We start from the raw sequence: 22,071 nt of genomic DNA, 5'->3' as shown, positions 1-22,071 counted from the left end.
GCTTATTAGGATGAGGAAATTCCCGCCTAATAAATTTTGGACAGACTGGTTGTCTGCTCTCAAACCCTGTCTCCTGATAAGATGTTATCAATGAGAATGCGTGCCTATAACTTCATCAGCAATTTTAATTTTGCCCCAGTCCTGTGGTCCTGTGATCTCGCCCTGCCTCCATTTGCCTTGTGATATTCTATTACCTTGTGAAGCACGTGATCTCTGTGACCCACACCCTATTGGTACACTCCCTCCCCTTTTGAAAATCACTAATAAAAACTTGCTGGTTTTACGGCTCGGGGGGCATCACGGAAGGTGCCGACACGTGATGTCTCCCCCGGACACCCAGCTTTAAAATTTATCTCTTTTGTACTCTGTCCCTTTATTTCTCAGACTGGCTGACACTCAGGGAATCTAGAAAAGAACCTACGTGAAATATCGGGGTGGAATTTCGCCTGCTATCTGGCTGAATTTCTCCCGATAGAGAGACATATATATCAATGGAATAAAATCAAATGTCGAAAATTAATTCTTACATGCATGGTAAAACAATTTTACAAGGTTGACAAGTCAATTCAATATAAAGAAATATTTCCTCACACAGTGTTGCTGGGACAAATGGACACTGACATGCAAGTTATTGCCTCCCTAGCACCATATGCATGATTGACTCAAATTAATAATGCATCTAAATATAGGAGCCAAATTGACCAAATCCATAGAAGAGAACATAAGAATACATTTTCATCGCTGAAATAAATTGGATCTTTGTCCCCACCAAATCTCATGTCAAATTGTAATCTGCAGTGTTTGCCGTGGGATCTGGTGGGAGGTGATTGGCTCCTGAGGGTGATTTTCATGAATGGTTTTAGCACCACTGGTGTTGTTCTCCTGATAGTGAGTGAGTTCTCACAAGATCTGGTTGCTTAAAAGTGCGTAGCACTCCAGCCCCTCTCTTCATCCTGCTCTGGCTGTGTGAAGTGCTGGCTCCCCCTTTGCCTTCCACCATGATTGGAAATTTCCTGAGGTCTTCCCAGAAGCAGAAGTCACTATGCTTCCTGTACAGCCTGCAGAACCATGAGCCAATTAAGCCTCTTTTCTTTATAAATTACCCAGTCTCAGTATTTCTGTATACCAATGGGAGAACAGACTAATACAGTAGCCTTGGGTTAAACAATGGTTTCTAAGCTATGACACCTAAAGCAAATGAACATAATTTTAAAAAGACATAAAGAACTTCATCAGAAATCAAGTATTAAAATTAAAAAACAGACATATTGAACTCATTACAAAACAGTATTGTGTGACTCAAAGTACATGGTTAAAAGTAAAAAGGCAACACCAAAGAATGAGAGAAAATCTTTAAAAATCTCATAGCTAATTAGGGTCTGTTATCCAGAATAGATAAAAAGTCTTACTTCTCGAAAATAAAAAGGCAAACATCTTAATCAAAAATGGCAAATAATTTGAAGAGTCATTTTTCCAAAAATAGTTGTAGTCTTGTCCAATAAACACATGAGAATATGCTCAATTTTTTTGTTATTCAAGAAATGCAAATCTAAACAACCATAAGATATACTTTACAAACCTAAACGGCATTTTGATAACTAAATAAAATGAGTTGGAAAAGGCAAAATACTATCTGATGCCATTTATATAACACTCTGAAAAAGAAAAAAGTACAGAGACAGTAAAGTATTCAGTGAGTATGAAGGGATTGGACCACAGAAAATTTGAATCAGTAAAGTACAAGAAATGCCTCTGGGGCTTTGAAATTGTTCTATATGACAACGTGACACTGAATATGTGACACTGTTATTCAAGACCTACAGAACTTCATAACACACAGATGGTAAAATAAAAACCTTATTTAGGCCAGGCGCCATGGCTCACGCCTGTAATCCCAACACTTCGGGAGGCTGAGGTGGAGGGGATCACTTGAAGACAGGAGTTCAAGACCAGCCTGGCCAACATGGAAAAACCCTGCCTCTACTAAAAATACAAAACACAAAAATTAGCCACGCATGGTGGCACATACCTATAATCCCAGCCACTTGGGAGGCTGAGGCAAGAGAAGTCCTTGAACCTGGGAGGCAGAGGTTGAGGTAAGCCAAGATCACACCACTGAACTCTAACCTGGGCAAGAGAGCGAGACTGCATCCAAACAAACAAACAAACAAACCAAACGCCTTATTTAGTTGATAGAGATTGACTAAATATTATAACTGTATAACAAATGTGTGAAATAAGCTCACTAGAGTGAGAAAAGGGGGCTGACCTAAGTAAATTAGGAAATAGAGGGAGATTCTGAGATTCTAAGTCAAAAGGACAAATAATTTGTATATAAGGACTGAGTTTTAGTTGGCAAAGTAGTTTCCCAGGGGTGTATAAATTAACACTTTTGAAAACACTATGCATGTATTTTTGGATGATATCATTAAGTTATTAACAAAGCCAACTAGTTCCATGTTAGAGGCGCAAGCTACATACAAGCGAGTTGGAACAGGTACATAGCTTCATGTGGTACTGGATTAGATCATGTGCTGCCAGAAACATTACATGGAATTCATGGCTAGTTTAATATTGATACATACGCATACATGTTGAAATATTTATACACATGTATATATTTGTAAGTCAGTAAACACATGTGTATTCTTTTGTTCAGTCAGCTGACAAGGCCTCAAGTCATCAGATGCCCTAGGGGCAATGAATATACCACAGTCTCTAGATCTTCATTTCTAATTCCATTTTCCATTCAAAGGAACTAGGGCATTGTGAAGAAACGGTGGATAATAGGGTTAGACAGAGAATAAACACAATCAGCCTGCAGCACCTAGTAGTGCCAGAAGAAAAGAAAATAACAACCAACAATGCAACAAACCAAACAGCACACCACACCAACAAACCATAAGTATGGGGAGATTTCAAAATTATAGACGATCCAACTGAAAGAAAGTCCCAGCCCGGAGCGGTGGCTCACGCCTGTAATCCCAGCACTTTGCGAGGCCAAGGCGAGCGAATCATGAGCTCAGGAGATCGAGACCATCCTGGATAATATGGTGAAACCTTGTCGCTACTAAAAATACAAAAAATTAGCCGGGCATGGTGGTGGGCGCCTGTAGTCCCAGCTACTCAGGAGGCTGAGGCAGGAGAATGGCATGAACCCAGGAAGCAGAGGTTGCACTGAGTCGAGATCGCGCCTCTGCACTCCAGCCTGGGTGACAGAGCAAGACTTCATCTCAAAAATAAAAGAGAAAAAGAAAGTTTCTTGGACAATACTGAAGCAATTTGAGCAACAAGCCAAATAAATTATTTCAAGTGAAGTGTAAAATAAGTACCCATATTTGTCTATGGGTAGAACAATGATGGAATAATATGGAACAATTGAAGAAGAATAGGCATTTGTTCATTGTGATTAATTCCAAATAATTTTTGCAGACACTCTGCCCCTAGGAAGTGGAACATAATTCTTCACTTCTTATTTGTGTGTTGTGTGTAGTGACTTCTTTTTGAAACATACAACATGGAAAGGAGAAGAAAAAAAACAGTAATTTCACAGTACAGAAATTTGATTGGAACTATCTCATTCAGGTGATTAAATTAACATCAAAAGTGATAAAGCTGTTACAGTCTGTACCCTTAACAGGATGTGATGAGAATGGCACTTTCCCTCTGTGGTCTTCCTCCCTGAAACCTACAATCCAGTCTAATCAGGAAAGAAACACCAAAGAAATCCCAAATTAGGAATGCCAATGTCATAGCAATCATGCAAACTTGGAGAAATTGTCACAGTCAAAGTCGATTAAGGAGCATGAATTGTAAATGTAATGAGGTATCCTGGATAGGATCCTGGAACAGAAACTCGACATTAAATGACGACTAAGTCAATCTGAATAAAGTGCAGATGGTTAATAATAGTGTAATATTGGTTGGTTCATTGTGACTAATATCCCACACCAATGTAAGGGGGTTATTAAGGAACATGGTGTATGGAGTCTGTGGAAACTCTATATTATATTTGGAACTGCTCTGTAAATCTAAAACTATTCGTAAAGTTCAAAAGTTTATTTTATTTTAAGCCTTTGCTGAGCTTATACAACAGAAAGAACATTAACAATATCATTGATGCCCCCTGAATGTATCTCCTGAATTTCATCTATGTTAACAGCTGAAGGTAACTATCATTATGGATTATCTCTGTCAGTCTCTAATTTTCTTATATTCATTTTTCCTGTATGTTTGTATATATAAACACTATATTGTTTTGTCTTTTATCTTTAAACTTAAATAAATATAAATATTGAAAATATTGAATTTAATCCATATCCCTAGTCTAATTATGAGAAGACATCTGACAAATTCATACTGTGGGAAATTTTACAATAGAACTGACCAGTCCTTGTCAGAAGGGTCAAGGTAACAGAAAATAAGTGAAGACTGAAAAACTATTTCATAGTGGAGAAGATCAGATATGGCAGTTAGAACCTAAGATGGCACCCAATGACTCCCACCTCTAAGTATAAGTGAAGTTGATAAATAACTTTGTATTTTAATTCCTTCTAATGAATGTAGTCAGAAACTGTGAGTTGCTTAAAATCAACAGAATACTACAATGGTGATGGGTCATTAGTAGGACGATTATGTTACATTAGATTGTGATTCTTGTCTTGCTAGCAAAGTGCCTCCCTTGATGGCTTTGATGGAACATTTGCCATATGGGAGAAGCCAACATGGGAGGAAACTAAATTCAGAAACAGGCCAAAGCCAGCAAAGAACTCAGGCCCTTGGTCCAACACCCTTACCCAGAGTTTGCAATATTACATTTAAAATGAATCCACTTTTTTTCAAAAAGTGTTTTTTGAAAAAACACTGTATCACTCACAGGTAGTGTGACTATCTTAGAATAACAAAATAATCTTAACTCTTTTGTTCTCCCTATTAGTGCTGTCATTCGTTTCACTTATACGTGAGTACACATGCACATATACATGTATATTTATATACATATAACATATAGACATAAGCATGCCTAATCAAATAGATTGGTGCTACTATTATTTTCCAGAAACCATTATCTGTGAGACTAAATTAAGAATATGAAAAATAAAAGTTTTATTCCATAGGGCAACCACTAAAATAGTCAAAAAAAGTTATATAATTGATATGCTAAGAATGGAGAGAAAACAGAATTGCATAAAATTCTCAAATAAAACCACAAAACACAGAAAATAAGTGAAGCACAATAACGGGAAGAAAGAACAAGGGCAACAAATCAAAAAGAGTAACACATATGGTTGATATTAATCCAACTCCATTGGTTGTCAGTAGTCTAAAAGCATCAATCAAAGAACTGAGAATGTCAGCGTAGATCAATAAAGTCAACCCAACTAAATGATGTTAAGTAAAATCTATGAAATATAAAGACATGTATACATTTAAAGTAAATAGATGAAACAAAATAGCCTAGGCCAACACTTATCAAATAAAGGAAGGGTCGCTGCATGAATTACAGACAGAGCAGTCTTCAAGCAAGGAAAGTCACTAAAAATAAAGACGGGCATTACACAAAGATGAAGGGGTCAGTTCTCCAGTACAACATAATAATCCTTAAAGCATTTAAGTGCCTAACAACAGAATGTCAAACTATGTAAGGCCAAAACTGACACAACTGCAAAGAGAAAGAGATTAACTCATTATTATAGTTGGAAACCTCAACACTGTCTGTCAGATAGTATTTGTCTGCAACTGTACAGTTACTGTCATCTATACACAAGGGTTACCTCAGCTTCATCCATCTAAGTGCCAAGCATTTTCAGGAATGGAGATGTGCCTTCGTATATTACTGGAGGCATCTCCTGCAGGGGCTCCACAACAGGCGCAGCACTGGTCTCATAGTGTCTTGGCCCTATGATAGCATGCATCTCCCAAAGGACTCGTGGAGCGGGTGCTACATTGTTGCAGGTATGCATGCCACTTCTGTATAATGGAGACTTGAGAAATAGCTGATATAGGCCTGGAAAACAACCCTTCTATCCAGCCCTTAATGGAGAGATCTGTTCTCATTGTTACTGGCAGATGATCAGTTACAGGCTCAATGTGCTGCATGGCCTTACATGCTCCCAGAACCTGTTGTTCAATTGGAGAACTGTGGGTTTCAGCACATTTCCATAGCTGTGACCAGAATCTTAGAAGAACTGCTTTCCCATGCTGAACGTGCCAGAGGACCTGTTTTGTCCCTTCAGGGTTTACAGTCATATCAAAAGACACTGGTATCCCAGAAGCGGGGAACTAGAGCTTGTGCCTGAGCAATCAATATTTTAGCCTTCTCAAATGCTACCACTTGTTCTTTAGTTCTTTATCCTAGATCTGTTTTTGTTTTTTTGAGACAGGGTTTCTAGCTCTTTCGCCCAAGTTGGAGTGCAGTGGCACGATCTCAGCTTACTAAATACTCCACCTCCCAGGTTCAAGCAACTCTCATGCCTCAGCCACACAAGTAACTGGGATTACAGGTATGCATCACCATGCCTGGCTAATTTCTTGTATTTTTAGTAGAGATGAGGTTTCACCACGTTGCCCATGCTGGTCTTGAACTCCTGGCCTCAAGTGATCTGCCTGCCACGGTCTCCCAAAGTGCTGGGATTACAGGTGTGAGCTACTGTGCCCAGCTGAGATTGCTTCTTTAATAGTCAGTATAGGGGATGCAAACATGGAGGTAAACATGGAATGAAAGCCCACTGGTATCCCAAAAGACCTAGGAAACTTTGTAACTGTTTAACTGTTTTAGGTATGGAAAACTTATATTTTCTCAATGACCAAGCCTGAAGTAAGGTGTCTTACCTGGCCAAGTGATCCATAGGAACTTTGCAGCTGGTTCCAGGCCTTGTACTTTTGTGAGTTGATGGCCCATCCTCTGGATTGAAGAAGGGTGTCAATGCATCTCCGTGTTGCTGTAGCAATGACAAGTCTTCAGAAGTTAGAGTATCATCAATATAATGACTGCAAGTCAGGGTAAAAGGGATGCTAAAGAAGGCATTAGCTAAATCTAACACAGCATGATAAGTGCCTATGTTTTGTATTAATTGCTCAATCACTTGAGTTACATTACATAAAGGAGCATGTATCTTAGAAAGATCAGTAGTGTCCACTTATCTACTGTCATATCCAAGTGCCATCAGATTTTATTATTGGTCACACAGGATGGCTGAAAGGACTCTGGGCTGGCCAGATAATATTAACTTTGGCCAATTTCTCCATGGCGGCTGTGACTTCTTATATTCTACCAGGAAGATGGTATTGTCTCACATTAACAATACATTGTGGGGGAGGGAGGTGTACACCTTCTAATTTTGCCTCCAATCTTAATACAGCCTTTGTCATAGGTGAGATTCCCCCACAGATGTTTGTAAAGTGCATCCTAAGAAGACATCCATATTCAAGATGTTTTCTGCAATAGGTGAGATAAAGACAGGAGAGTAAGCAAAGAGGGAACTCCAGACAAAACTAAGGAGGAGAGGAGTTTGTTTCTCTCAGATTTTTAACCCCTCACAACCATCTATAGCTTCCCACTTACCAGGGTGTCTCTCTGGATTTCCATCAATTAAGACACATTCTGCACCTGTGCCCACTAAAGCTAAGGTTCTCTTAGTGCTGTTTTAGACTCCAATCAATAGTGAGCTCCAAATACGGCCTCTGGTCACCCCCTATTGCTCTTACACAGAAGCAGCCTTGACCCTACCTATGATCTCCAGGCTGGAAAGAAGTGCACCCCTGAATTTTTACCAAAGGTTTCTTCCTGTCTTTCTCCCTCTTCTCATGGGGGGTGGGGGAGGTAATAAGAAGGTGTCTAAACTATTGATCAGGAGTCAGGTCTTTCCATACCCCACTAATATGCCACTGGGTTGCCCATCTATATTCTCTTTGTCAATCCCAGCTGAAATCAGATCATACCACATTTGTTTCCTAGTAACCTTAATTGTGTCTTTTTTAAACTCCTTTTTTCAGTCCAGCAGACTTTGTTTCTCCCTTTTTCCATTTTCCTTTAGCAACCAGTCATACCTAATCTCTTTCCTTTTGAGTTTCTAGGAAATCTGAAATGGCTTTCCCTATAACTTATCCCATAAGGGGGTTATTTCACTTCCGGGGTACTTCTGTCTCAATTTTTCAGGTTCATTCCCTTTTAGGGAGATATCATCCCTACTGGTGTCCCATAGCTGCACCATTCATGTACATAAGGCTTTCTCTTGGCAGCTGTTTTAAAGTTTTTATTATATCCAGTAATCCTACCCAGGCCTCTGTGTGTTGGAATTTTGCTTTCCACTGCATGAACAGTTTCACTCTCAAATGGGAAGGATAATGATCTTCCTCCTCTGAGTTAAACTCTATGTCATCATCTGGCTCACTGGTTGTTTCCCAAGAATTACAGGTATTTGCATCCCAGCCTGCACTGGCAAAGACAGTCCACACATTCAGCTGGCACAGCTTTCTCTCTCTCAGCCACACAAAGTGGCAAGGTACAATTTCCAACTGTGCCTCTTGAGTTTCAAGTTTATCATAAAACCAGACATTAACACAGACATGGAAGTTCTCATCCCTTTCTCACTGCGATTCTTTTCCTAGCTTCCCTCCCCTTGCCTCAGCTGCTACCTGTGCTTTCGTGACCACTCACATAGATAATAACAGCAGCAAACTCACTGTTGTCACTGTTTTGCCACCTTTTTCACCACAGTGAGTCATAGTTTTTAGTAACGTTTTACTAAAAAGCTTTAAACACACATAGTGGTCCACAGACATGTAGCATATGGGCAACACCACCCAAATGGATGAGGAGGGCGCTTGTAAAACTTCCTCCACAGACGCTTCTTTCCCCTTGTCCATACTTTGGTTTCCTGGCTGGCCATTTGCTCCGTTAAAGGACCGTATACACAAAGCAACTCTCAAATGCCAAAGGATCTGAAAAATTAAAGAAGAAGGCAGAAAATCCATTTAGTCAGTACTGGTTAATTTATAGATGGAACTTACACACAGAACCATACCCTTGGATGGTTGCAGGTAGGCAGTTGTTCACACTGTTACTCTCCAGACCCAGGGTTAATACTCCACAGGGAAAAGGTATACATGCTTTAGCAAGGCAATTAAAAGCAACCCTCCAGAATGGACAAGGAGGCTACATGCCTCATAGCATGTAATTTTTGTGGTAACACACTGGTTGACATGATTTTACACTAAGGACAGTAAATAAATGAGAGATCAGAAGGCATTCATGGAACTGGGGCAAATCAGAAGTAACATGGTGGACTAGCATCCAAGATGGGTCATTTTGTCTCCACAGGTTCTATGACCTGCTGTTTTTTCGAAGTACAGCTGGGAATATTCATGTAAGTGCAAGACATGCAAGGTTTTATCCTTCCCTGTCTTCAGTAGCACAGTGATGAAGAGAACAGTCTCTGCAGGGAAATGTCTAGTGTAAAATGAACTCTCCAAAAAATAAGAACATGTAATATTTGAACACAGACAGAAGAATCAATAGGCCGGGCACGGTGGCTCACACCTGTAATCCCAGCACATTGGGAGGCCAAGGCGGATGGTCAGGAGTTTGAGACCAGCCTGACCAACATGGTGAAACCCCATCTCTACTAAAAATAAAACAAAATAAAATAGCCAGGTGTGGGGACGTGTGCCTGTAGTCCCAGCCACTCAGGAGGCTGAGGCAGGACAATTGCTTGAACCCGTGAGGCAGAGGTTGCAGTGAGCCGAGATCACAACATGGCACTCCAGCCTGGGTGACAGAGCGAGACTCTGTCTCAAAAAATTAATGATAATAAAGAAGAATCCATAAAAATAAAAAGAGTTGAAAATCTGATAGATGTCTATATAAACAAATAATCCAAAAGAAAAAGTAATGGAAAAAGGTGAATTTTCTTTTTTTTTTTTTTTGAGACGGAGTCTCACTCTGTCACCCAGACTGGAGAGCAGTGGCGCAATCTTGGCTCACTGCAAGCTCCGCCTCCCAGGTTCACGCCATTCTCCTGCCTCAGCCTCCCAAGTAGCTGGGACTACAGGTGCCTGCCACCATGTCTGGCTAATTTTTTGTATTTTTAGTAGAGATGAGGTTTCACCATGTTAGCCAGGATGGTCTCAATCTCCTGACCTCGTGATCTGCCGCCTCGGCCTCCCAAAGTGCTGGGATTACAGGCGTGAGCCACCGCACCAGGCTGGAAAAAGATGAATTTTCAATAAACATTTCAGTATACTGAATGTCCATCGAGAGAAATAAAATTTACTTTTAAACTCATGCACAAAATCAACTTCAAGTGGATTATAGACCTCCATAGAAAAAAGAATTCAATGGAGTATTTAGAATTTAATATAGGAAAATAATTTCATTACAATAGGGTAGGTGAGGAATTCTTAAAAAGCACCTACAAAGTGTTTACTCTAAGAGAGAAATGCTATTCTAACATAGTTGATATGAGTAGGAACACTGGGTCAAGCTCAAGGTTGTTCTAAGTCTTTTCCTATAGGGCTTTAGCTCAGATTCAGAGCTAGAACTTTCAGAGGGTCACAGTAGTGTCTACCTCTTGAGATGCTGTGACAACTTAATGCACTCATACACAAAATGTGTAGACTAATGGCAGCTTTGAAAGGAAAATAAAATCTCAGGACACTAAATCTCTATGACCAATGGGAAAGTTAGGCTTAGGAACTGTGTCACACTAAAACTGACTTCCTTTTTTTCCCAAATAGATAGCTGTAATTATACATGGTTACTTTATCTTATGCAAAGTGTAGATCCAGCAAACATGAGATGAATGCATAATCAACTTTATCCCCCACTCCTCTATTTGCACATATCAAATGTGGTTTCAGTGAGTGCTAATCAAAGCCTCACGAGAATGCAAACGCTTGCCTCAGTGCCTAGCCCTCTCTGCTTTTTTCCCCCTTCCCCTACTGCTCACTTTTTCCCCTTTAAATGCTGAAGTCATCAAACCTTGCTTTGGAAAAAGCAGATCACAGATCCTGCTGTAATTTGTGTTGCTTTTTCCCATGCACTTTCTCAACGTTGGCAAGATCTAGCTCTAAATTTACTGAGACCTGCCTCAGTCACTTTTCAGTTTATATTTTGGAAACCACAATGAGTTCTGTGCAGAGTTTCGCCCTTTGGCCTGCAGCAACTCTCCTAGCAGGGCCCTGGTACAGCCAACTGGAAGCTTTGTATTGCTCTGACTGATTGGATGATTTGCTGAGGTCTGGGAGCCTCCCCCTACACAGATCCCTGATCTCCCAAACTTTTTGTTTGAGGTCTGAGGTATGTTCTCTTGTAGAACTCCCTCTCTGGGAGTTTGCTGCTTCTGAGGAGGCAGAGCGCAGTCTTGCACTTGGGCCAGCATCTCCAAGTAAGGAGCTGGCTGGGGGTTTTTAAATTGGATTTGGTGGCTTTGAGTCTAGCTTTCTTCTTAGCCAGTTACAAATTCTTAGGTTCAAAGATCTCAACTTATGTAAATTGTGCAATCACTTTTACTTCCTGTTTTGGCAAAAATCTATGTCTGTCTCCTCTACAAAGTTTTGACTGGAGATACATAAAAAAGATTTTAGAGATCTCATATTCTTAATAATACATTAGAATATGAAATTTTACAAATGACTTACAATAGCGTCATGACTATCCTTGAGAATTCTGGCTCTGTACAGTAAAATCTCTTAGCATTGCTTGAAATTCATAAGACATACCCTTGATTAAAGGGCATGGTCAAATATTTAACTTTCTTTGGGTTCAATGTACATACATGTGTTAGTGTGTGTTCCAAAATTGTACATCAAAACTCTGTGACCACAATTTTCCTGTATTACAAACCTGCAAATGTACCCCAAACCTAAAACAAAAAAATTGGTAAAATAAAATAGAAATGTCTTCAGAATTTAACTTAGATATTTGGTCTGAACTGGTCAGGCAACTCAGATACTGTTTTTGCTGGATGTTTTAGGGCCATAAACTGCTCTGTGATATTTTAAATAATTGTTTGATTTGTCTTTCTTACAGCCATAGTAAGTTCAGGGGACATATAGTGTTCTCCCTAGCCCAGCTGTGCCCTCTGACTACATTGGGAAGGGTCAGATGTTATTGGCAGCTGTGTCTTTTGTCCCTGGCTCTGCACCTGACACGTAAGTAAAATTTCTTACTTCCTAGAGTTTTTCAATACAAGTAAGAGTTACTGAGAGGTAACATTACAGTTAACATATATAATTGAATCTACTAGATGCATCCAAAGTATATAATAAAAGTGAGATGTGTTATTAGAAAAAAAATGCTATAGAAAGGTATGAGAAATGTGTTTTCCTTACAAAGGGAAACTAATTTTGTCTACTGTAGAGGTTTTCAAGTTGTCTTTAAATTGAAGACAAACTGACGGATAAAGCTAAATGGCTACAGAAAGTTGGGGCTTGGTGTGGTGGTTCATTCCTGTAATCCCAGCACTTTTGGAGGCCCAAATGGGAGGACTACCTGAAGCCAGCAGTTTGTGACCAGCCTGGGCAACAAAGTGAGACACCATATCTACAAAAAAAAAAAGAGCCAGGCACAGTAGTGTGCGCCTGTTGTCTCAGCTACTCAAGAGGCTAAGGTGGGAGGACTGCTTGAGGCTAGGAATTTGAAGCTATAGTAAGCTATGAGTGTGTCACTGCATTCCAGCCCAGGTGATAGAGGGAGACCTTGTCTCAAAAAAAAAAGGTAAAGGAAGGTTGGAAAGAAATTTTTTGGTTGTTCTAAGATACAATCATGGGATAAAACTGAAAGTTTGACGGAATTGTAGATTTGTAGCAGATTGATTTTACAAAAGAAATACTGTGTGTGACCAAGTGGGCTGAAATTTAAAGGGTATTATTCAGTCTTTCTATAAATTGAACACTAAAAAGCACATTTATGCAAGCCCAGAATCTGGATGTGATTTTTTCAGAGAACTTATCTGCTTCTCAGTAGAAAATAGTAAAAGGTTAACAAGCATTTCTTAAATCATACCTTATGATTAAACTGATTGATATTTGATGAATTCATTTATAAATTTTATTAAAATTGCTTTAGTATTAATACCACGCCACGCAAAGGTAAAGTTGGTTTTCTTTTTTGAACCAGGATTTTGTTTAATATTAAGAGAGAGTAAAAGATTTTTGTTTGCCTTTTGGGCAAACTGCAAAAAAAGAGGAGGGGAGTAAGGTTCACTTGGTTTCATACTATATTTATTAGGTTTTACTGGTTTTTCATTTTTTCGAGGTATTTTTGTTTGTTTTTTTGAGACAGGGTCTCACTCTGTCACCCAGGCTGGAGTGCAGTGGTGTGATCTTGGCTCACTGCAACCTCCATGTCATGGGTTCATGTGATCCTCTTTCCTCAGACTCTGTAGTAGCTAGGACTACACACACCAATACAACCAGATAATTTACAAATTTATTTTCTGTAGAGACGAAGTCTCACTATATTGCCCAGGCTCGTCTTGAACTCCTGGGCTCAAATGATCTTCCCGTGTCGGCCTCCCAAAGCAATGGAATTACAGGCACAAGCCAGTGCACTCAGCCTGATATTAGACCTTATTGTTTAAGAAACTGAATCTCCTTTCTCTATATCAAAGAATAAAGATTTTTGCTTTTTAGAAATATTTAAAATATCATTTTTGGCTTAATGAGTAATTCACTTCATCGTGATTGGTGATTCTATTTTGTAACACTGTTTCAAACCTTTGATATTTGACAAACTTTCCAAATCAAATTTTAATTTAGCCTTAGTGACCTAATTAACTTTTTGAATATTAGGTCACCTGAAGTCCAACAGTGACAAATTAGCCACATTTAACATGTTAAAATCATATAGAAGCATGGTGAAATATTTAACTTTTGAGTTCTATTTACCTAAATATTACCATGTGCTCCAAAATCATATGAGATGCCAATAATTCTGACATGCCTTACTATATGTTATCAGTAATAATTATGATTATTATGTTAAATTGTTGTATGACACAGAAATAACCAAATTTCTTATCAGCTATACCTGTAACTATGACTGTCCTAAGAGTTTTTCATTCACAATTGTTGTTTTACTTTGATTATTCTCAAAAAGTAGTTTATAAAAAACCAGTCGGCCAAAACTTGCTTCTTTAGAAGAGTTGGTGAAAATGACTCTGATAGGTTTTCTTGAATTTAGGTTTCTGATAACTTTGGAGATTGTGCCATTGTACAAACGAAAACAATAACAATAACAACAACAAAACTCCCAGGACTCTAAACAGGCTGACGTGTTCATGAGGATTGCTAAGCCAATACAAAGTAGAACAAGTTAATTATGTGGGACTGATGTAACAGAAGAATGAAACAATTTTTTAGGACTTTTTTATTTGAAACATTGATGACTATATTTGTTTTTCAGAGTAAAGAAAGGTTTATTCTTAGCTATTTATAGTTTTTAACAATTGAATATGGTATACTCTTTAGAGAAAAATTTCAACTATACTTCTTTCTCTTTACCTGATTTCCCCAGAATTTGAAAACTATTTCTGAATATTCTTAATTTATGGTAATATAAGTTATTTGCATATAATCAATAACAATTTTTTTTTTGTAATGGGACACAATTGGAGACACTGGTTACCTTGTCAAGGCTTTGGCTGGAATAGCATATTTTCATCTATGAGCAGATTGCTTTGAGAAATTTAGGTTGAATAATAAAACCAGTAAAATTCCCTTGGAGAGACTGGCCCTGTGCCTTCTTTATGCAGTTTCTTTACAGATTTTCTGATCTGTGGTAAGAAACGCATGTCACTTTCTGACAGGCCTAGGAACTCCAAGTAATCTTGCGACCTCAAGATGAGATGAATTCACCCAGTTCATACAGTTATTTGCAGGCACAATAAATGCTTGTTTGAGCTTGAGGGGCTATTTGAAAAAAATAGTAGACACTTTGTTTAAAAAAAAGTTCCATCAGTGCCAACTTAGAAGAGCCTATATGGAAAAAAAATAGTCTTGCTGCACTTTATGAAAATAATCAGGCCAAGTACAATAAAACTAAAACTTATTTTGGAAATAAATTGGTCTTACTATGATTTTTCTTTAGTAAAAATGGAAGACTGTAGAGAGAAAAAATGTATTTCAAATGAAACTATAGTACATCTTTTATTGGATTCTAGCCCTGTTCATTGTCTTCCAGTTTTATTATTGGTTTACAATTTAGCTAGACTGGATCCTAAATTCTTTGCTGGTTACCAGTCTCCAAACTAAAATTTTCAATGTTTTTTTTTTTTCTTTCCCATTTTTTTCTGACTTCAAATTAGTAGAAATCTGTGCTTTTTGTAAAGCCCTGCAGACTGAAACTAGAAAACTTAAACTTTGGGAGAAATAACAGCATCTTATTTATTTACATAAAATATTTTCATGACCGTCTAGTTATATATGGACTGCTCTGTGATATAGTCTATTGGTTTTCAAGGATTGCTTTCTACTTTATTGCTATAATCCAGCTGTGTCTCTTTTTTCTTATCTTTTCCCTTTATTTCTTATTCCCCCTATTTCTTCACAACCTTCTAGAATGAGTCTCCTTAAAAATGTGGATCCTAACCTTCTAGGAATAAACCATCCTAATGTTGAAAGATTAGGAAAAAATATAACCAAACACACATTTTCTGCTAAAATGCTTTCTCTGAAATATTTTGAAGAACAAGGAAAATAAAATCTTGGGACCCCAAACTCACTATGCCAAAGGAAAAGTCAGGAACTGAGTCATGCTAATACTACCTTCCTTTTGTTCCCAAAGAGACAGCTGTAATTTCACAAGTTTGCCTATCTTATGTAAAATGTAGATCTACCACGCACAAGACAAATGCACAATCAACTTTTTCTCCATTCCTCTGTACACATGCAACATCTGGATGCAGTGAGTGCTAATTCAGGCCTCATTCGGATGTACTTGCCTCACTGTCTTTCCTCCCCTTTCTTTATCCTCCACCTGCTCCTGCCTGGTCTCACCCCTATAAATATGGAAGTCAGCAAAACCCTCTTTGGAAAAAGCACAGGCCACAGAGCCTACTGTGACTTGTGTTTCTTTATCCTTAAACTTGGCAAAATAATTCTCTGAATTGAATGAGATCTGTGTCAGTCATTTTTGGTTTACATAGGTCTACACTAAACACTAAGTTACTATTTGCTACCAGTGACAGCTTTTTTCAAGTAATTGCGAGAAGTATCATATGTATCAATTGTAAAATACATCATTATTTTACATCACAATAAAAGCATAAAACTATTGAAAAACTATGACATCACAAAAATTTTGTCATATATGTTGAAAATAATACTTTTTGTTTGAAATGCCTGTTCCCTGGTGCCATAAAGAAATAGCACTTGAATATAAATTTAATTTCCTCAGCAAGGCCATTTTTATATTTTCTTCAGAAAGGGTACACTCGCCAGCATTTTTGCCATGAGAGTGCACAGAACAAAGGAGACAGGGTCATTTATAACCTGATGCTTCCACCCCACTGCTGTGTCTGGTTTCCATTGGCTGGAACAGGACCTCACATTCCGTATTTGTCCCGACTGGCTAGCAACTTAGAACTTTTTAAAAGAGGCAAAGGCAGAGGAGAACAAAGGAAGGAGGAAGTAACTTTTGGAATCCAGAGAAAGGTAAAAACACCTTCAAATAAGGAAGAGGAACACGCTATGACCTAATGCTTGCTTGGACCAGTATAAGCATGCCAGGGCAAATATTTAGGTTAAATTGTGGGAGCTAAGAACATAAAGTACATTCATTTCTTTATTACGGCTAGCAGATATTTAAGAATGTTAGCACAGGTCTTTGAAAAAATTTTGCTTCTAAGAGAAGTTACTATTTATTTCTAATTAGATGGCGAGGAAAGTCTTCGAAGAGGAACCTCTATTCTACTTTTTACACTTTTGAACTTATATAAATGTGTGTATTGATGTCATATCACTCCTATGATCACATAAGACAGAAAGTGAAAGCAAAATAGGTAATCAAGGTTTTCTAAAATTTCTCATATTTGGATAAAACTCTTCTAAATCACTGTGCAACTCACCTTGTCCATGGATTTTTTCTACACTAGCATCATCTCTGGTAATTAGGAGCTTTGCTGATGCCATATTTGTAGTGAGAGAACTATAATAGTTTCTGTTAGATTATGTTTCTCATCTGCTAACATCCCTCTCCAAGTCATGATGTTAAAGATACCACCAGAATGTGAAAATGGAAGTTTTTTACATCAAGTTCACTTGTGTGCACATGAAGTCCATCACATTATTACTGTCTTCTAACCAATAGCCTTTTAACAATATTATGATTGATCTCTATTTGAAAGATGTAAAAAATATGCCTTTTAAAATAAATGGAACACCTTATTTTTTCTCTGTGACTGCCCCCTTCTCACTATAAAATTTTGTCGGCTCATCATATGTATTCTGGTCTATTATTGAGAAAACATGTTTAACTATAGTTTCAAATTAGTTGAACAACTCAATTTACCTGCTACCTCAGGATTAGAGAGAGAGTTATTATTGGGCTACTAGAATTCCTATTTTAAATGTTGCTGTGAATTGTTTTAATTTTATGTAACCTGGGCATTCATTTTGTACATAGTGTTGACATTCTCATACCAGAAATAGGGTTTAGAAATCCGTGACAGTTTCCAGTTTGTGGCCTCTTCCACATTCCTCAAGGTGGTCATTGAACATAGCCCCTTATAAAACCTGCTCAAGGTGACTACTCCATATAAGACAGCTGAATACCACCTTTATCTCACCTCACTGTCCCCTGTGGGAACTGCACAGATATTCGGCAGTAACCACCTCTCAGTCAAACTTTGACTCTGTGGAAATCATGGTTGCTTCACCTTAACCCAGCAATTTGAACTCCTCATGAGAAACCTGCTTGGGTAACACTCCAAAACCCAATGTAATGTTTAGTTTTAGGAGTCAACTAACTGTATTAACGAATACCTAGAACACTGGCAAAGCATTACTTCTGGATCTGTGAGGTTTCACCAGAAAGGTCTGAAATGTGAGTCGGTAGACAGAGTGGGTAAGATCCTGTGATGGAGCAGGGACCCTTTGTTAGGGGCCTGTAGCTTCCCCAAGCAGGGAAATAAAGGAAAATCGTGAGTCCCTTCAAGGGAAATCCCTGGTACCTAGCTAGCACTGAGAAAGAAATGAGGAACTTGATAAGCAAGAAGGTAATAGTAGCCTAAACAACAGCCAAGGTAGTTACAGTCAGAAGATGTTTGTTTTGTTCTAAAGATCGCATCTTAACATACATTCCTGAGTCATTTTTCATAGAAACCTAGACCCCCACCAAAGGCATCTGCTGACAAGTACACCTCAGATAAGGGGGGCCTGAAAACTGAATTCTGACTGCCATTCTTTGTGCTAAATTTCTTCCTGAGGGGCTAGAGGGAGGCAAATCCATTAGCCAAAGAGCTAATATTTTTTTCTGCCAACCCCCAAATTTTAAAACAACTCTTCTTTTCTTTAACCAATTACAAATCAGAAAACCCTTGAATCTATGTATGGGCTGTAAGCACCTGCTTCAAAATATCACGACTTTTCAGGACAAAACCAATGTGTAACCTCCAGTACTGATTTACAATTTTGCCAGTAACTTCTGCTTTCCTGAAATTTACCCCTGCTTTAAAAAAACCCTTACCTGCAAGCCACTGGGGAAGTGGGAACTTAAGCATTAGCTGACTCATCCGCCTTGCTTCACAATGTCCAGATAAACACCTCCTTTTCTCCCACTGCAAATGTCAGTGTAGGTATCTAGTCTTACTGTACTGGGTGAGCAGACCTGAGTTGAATTCTTTTTTTTTTTTTTTTTTTTTTTTTGAGACGGAGTCTCGCTCTGTCGCCCAGGCCGGACTGCGGACTGCAGTGGCGCAATCTCGGCTCACTGCAAGCTCCGCTTCCCGGGTTCACGCCATTCTCCTGCCTCAGCCTCCCGAGTAGCTGGGACTACAGGCGCCCGCCACCGCGCCCGGCTAATTTTTTGTATTTTTAGTAGAGACGGGGTTTCACCTTGTTAGCCATGATCCTGACCTCATGATCCACCCGCCTCGGCCTCCCAAAGTGCTGGGATTACAGGCGTGAGCCACCGCGCCCGGCCTGAATTCTTTAACAATCCACCCTCTATGTGGGTAGGCACCATCCAGTGGGCTGGGGGTCCCGATAGAATGAAAAAGTAATGAGAATGATTTTGTTCTCCCTCTCTCCTGGAGCTGGTACACTCTCTGCCTCCTGCCCTTGGACATCTTAACTACAGACTCTCTTCCTTGGGACTCCAGGACTTACTTCTGCATCCCTCCACATTCTCAGTCCTTTGGCCTCAGACTGAGAATTACACTGTCCGCTTTCCTCATTCTGAGACTTTCAGCCTTGGAATGAGCCATGCTACTGGTACTCCATGGTTTACAGCTTACAGAAGACCTGTCTTGGCTTCCATAATCATGTGACCCAATTTATCTAATTAATGCTCCCCCATCTATCTATATATGTATCCTATTGGTCCTGTATCTCTGAAGAATGCTAAAACAGGTTTTATTTTTTAAACCATGAATGATTGTAGAGAACCAGAATTTTAGGAATGAGTTTCTTTCATTGGTTTTGGGGTTTCTAAACTTAGATCTCTAAACTGATGATACCTAAAAATGTTAAAGCCTCCATTTCTAATAGTCCAGAAAACATTGCTAGTCCATGTCATAAACTGCTTAAAGGATATGCAAACATCTACCTTTGACACTCCTAATCAACACCGATAAAAGACAAGGAACTTGGTGACTCTGACAGCACATCTTTAAATATCTGTGGAAAATCAAGGACTCTGCTTCTAGAGTTGATGAGTAAAGTGATCAATAAAAAAGATACGCTAAGAGATTCAAATTTCAGAATTCGGCTTCACATAAAAAGCCTTAGAGCTTCTTACAGTGCTCTGAGTGAGAATTATATCTCCTATAGTCACAGGGCTGAAAATGCTAAAAGTCAAACACAAACCTTCACCGTGCAGTTGGCTGAATTACTTTGAAAGTTGAACTTTCAGCCTAGCAAGGTACCTACTGTAAATTTAAAGCACTGTACAGAGAAGAATGGAACTCTGTAGAGTGGGTTGGGAACATTTGGGGAGACCATGTTGAGGCTGGAGACATTGAGCTCTGAAATTCCGACGTCTTCTTTGCCAGTAGACCTGACCCCCTACTGACACCCTCTTGGCAGTAGCCTCTTCACCCACACTGGTATAGGTGGTTCCACCTCCTCTGAGGGGATTACGCCAGCATTGCCTGAGGGAAAGGTAATGGACTGCAATGCAGATTCTCCTAAGGCCCCACACCCACCACTCCTTTTTGCTTCTAGGCCTATAAGTAGACTCAAATCTCAAAATGCCCTTAAAAATGATATACAAAGTTTGGCCCATGGGAGGTTCATGACAGTTCAAGAAAACTATTTGAGTTTATAATTTATACAAGGAGAAATCTGGAGAACATGTGTGGAAAAGGGTATTAAGAGTTAGGATAATAGTGGAGGAAACAAAGTTGGATCACCCAGATTTATTGATATGGACTCATTAAAAAAGATACTGGTTTTAGTTTTGCAGCATGGGAAATTAGAAAGGGCTCTAACAGTTTGGTTGGTTGGCTGAACTATAAATCAAAAGATGGCCCTTATTTAGCCAGTTGGATATGCCTGATCTCCCTTGGCCTCATGTAGAGGAAGAGATTCAAAGGCTTAGAACGAATGGAACTCCAGAGTGCATTTGTCATTTGAAATCTACTCACCCACACTGGGAGGCTCCAGAAGACCAACCTTTCAGCAATACTTTAAGAAACTGATTTCTAAGGGGAGACCAGCATCCTTGAATAACTTTCTCTGTAGCTGGAAGCTTATACTGAGAACCACAGTCACTCAATAGAAAATTTAAATGCATTGGGAATAACTGGATCTCACAGGTCCCAGAGCCATGTGGCAGCTGTCAACCTTCAGAATCAAGATGGACATAGTTACCAAAATGGGCAGCAAAGGTACAGCAACATTCAGATGCATCTGACTCAAGTAGATCTATGGTGTTGGCTAGTTTGACTGTGGTGTTCTCAGAAGTAAAATAGAAAAGAAGCCTAATAAACCCTTAATTGATCTGAAAATACTGAAAACATTTATGTTTACGAAAGCCTAACTCAAATCAAAATAATAGAGAATCACAGCTCCTACTAAAATCCAAGACTAGAGCCAGTTTATAGTCAAGAACTCCTTGAAAAAAGGAGCAGCCAGGTCCCCTTGATGAAGGACCCAGGTATACCACAAAAACTTTATACTGTTCATCTTTCTCCTGTCCTTCCCAAAAGGGAACCTATAACCTTTTAACAGCTGTGTTTTGGGGAAAGGAATATAGTAAGAACTTTTCAGGACTAGTAGACACTGGCTCTGACCTTACATTGATTCCAGAAGACTCAACCCAACTCAAAACATCACTATAGAATGCCAGTCAGAGTGGGGATTTATGGAGGTCAGGTGATTAAATTTTAGTCACATGAAATCACCATGGGTCCAGTGGCCCCAAACACATACTCTGGTCATTTCTCTAGTTGTAGATGCAAAGCTTTAATAGACATAGTTAGCACCTGGCACATTTCCCACATTGGTTCCCTGACCTGTGGAGTGGGCGCTAGTATGGTGGGAATATCTAAATGGAAGGCACTAGAGCTGCCTCTACCTAGGAAAATAGAAAATCAAATTCATAACCACACCTCTGGAGTGACTGTAGAGATTACCACCACCATCAAGGACTGGAAGGATGCAGGGGTAGAGATTCTAACACATCCCTGTCTAACTTGGCCTGTGCAAAAGACAGATGGATCCTGGAGAGTGACAGTGGATTCCCACAAGCTAAACCAAGTGTTCCTTGTAATTGCAACTGCTATATCAGATGTAGTTTTATTGCTTGAGCAAATTAACACATTCCCTGATACCTGGTATGCACCTATTGATCTAATGAAGCTTTTTCTCTATTTCTCTTCATAAGGCCCACCAGAAGTCGTTTAATTT

At 39.1% G+C, this 22,071-nt stretch overlaps 1 long non-coding RNA gene across 1 annotated transcript in view; it reads right to left on the bottom strand.

The window, feature by feature from the left end:
• Positions 1 to 216: 216 nt before the first annotated feature.
• Positions 217 to 22,071, bottom strand: part of LOC105370733 (uncharacterized) — a 440,742-nt gene continuing 418,887 nt past the window's right edge. The window contains exons 5-7 of the long non-coding RNA XR_007064536.1: positions 8,686 to 8,943; positions 6,832 to 6,941; positions 217 to 1,058 (exon numbers count right to left, since the gene is read on the bottom strand). This is a non-coding gene — a long non-coding RNA (uncharacterized LOC105370733). The remainder of the gene's footprint in view (positions 1,059 to 6,831; positions 6,942 to 8,685; positions 8,944 to 22,071) is intronic.

This window comes from Homo sapiens, chromosome 15 (genome assembly GCF_000001405.40).
Source record: "Homo sapiens chromosome 15, GRCh38.p14 Primary Assembly".
Taxonomy (NCBI): Eukaryota; Metazoa; Chordata; class Mammalia; order Primates; family Hominidae; genus Homo; species Homo sapiens.
Note: the sequence above shows the minus strand (reverse complement) of the source record. Positions and strands in the feature narration are given on the sequence as shown.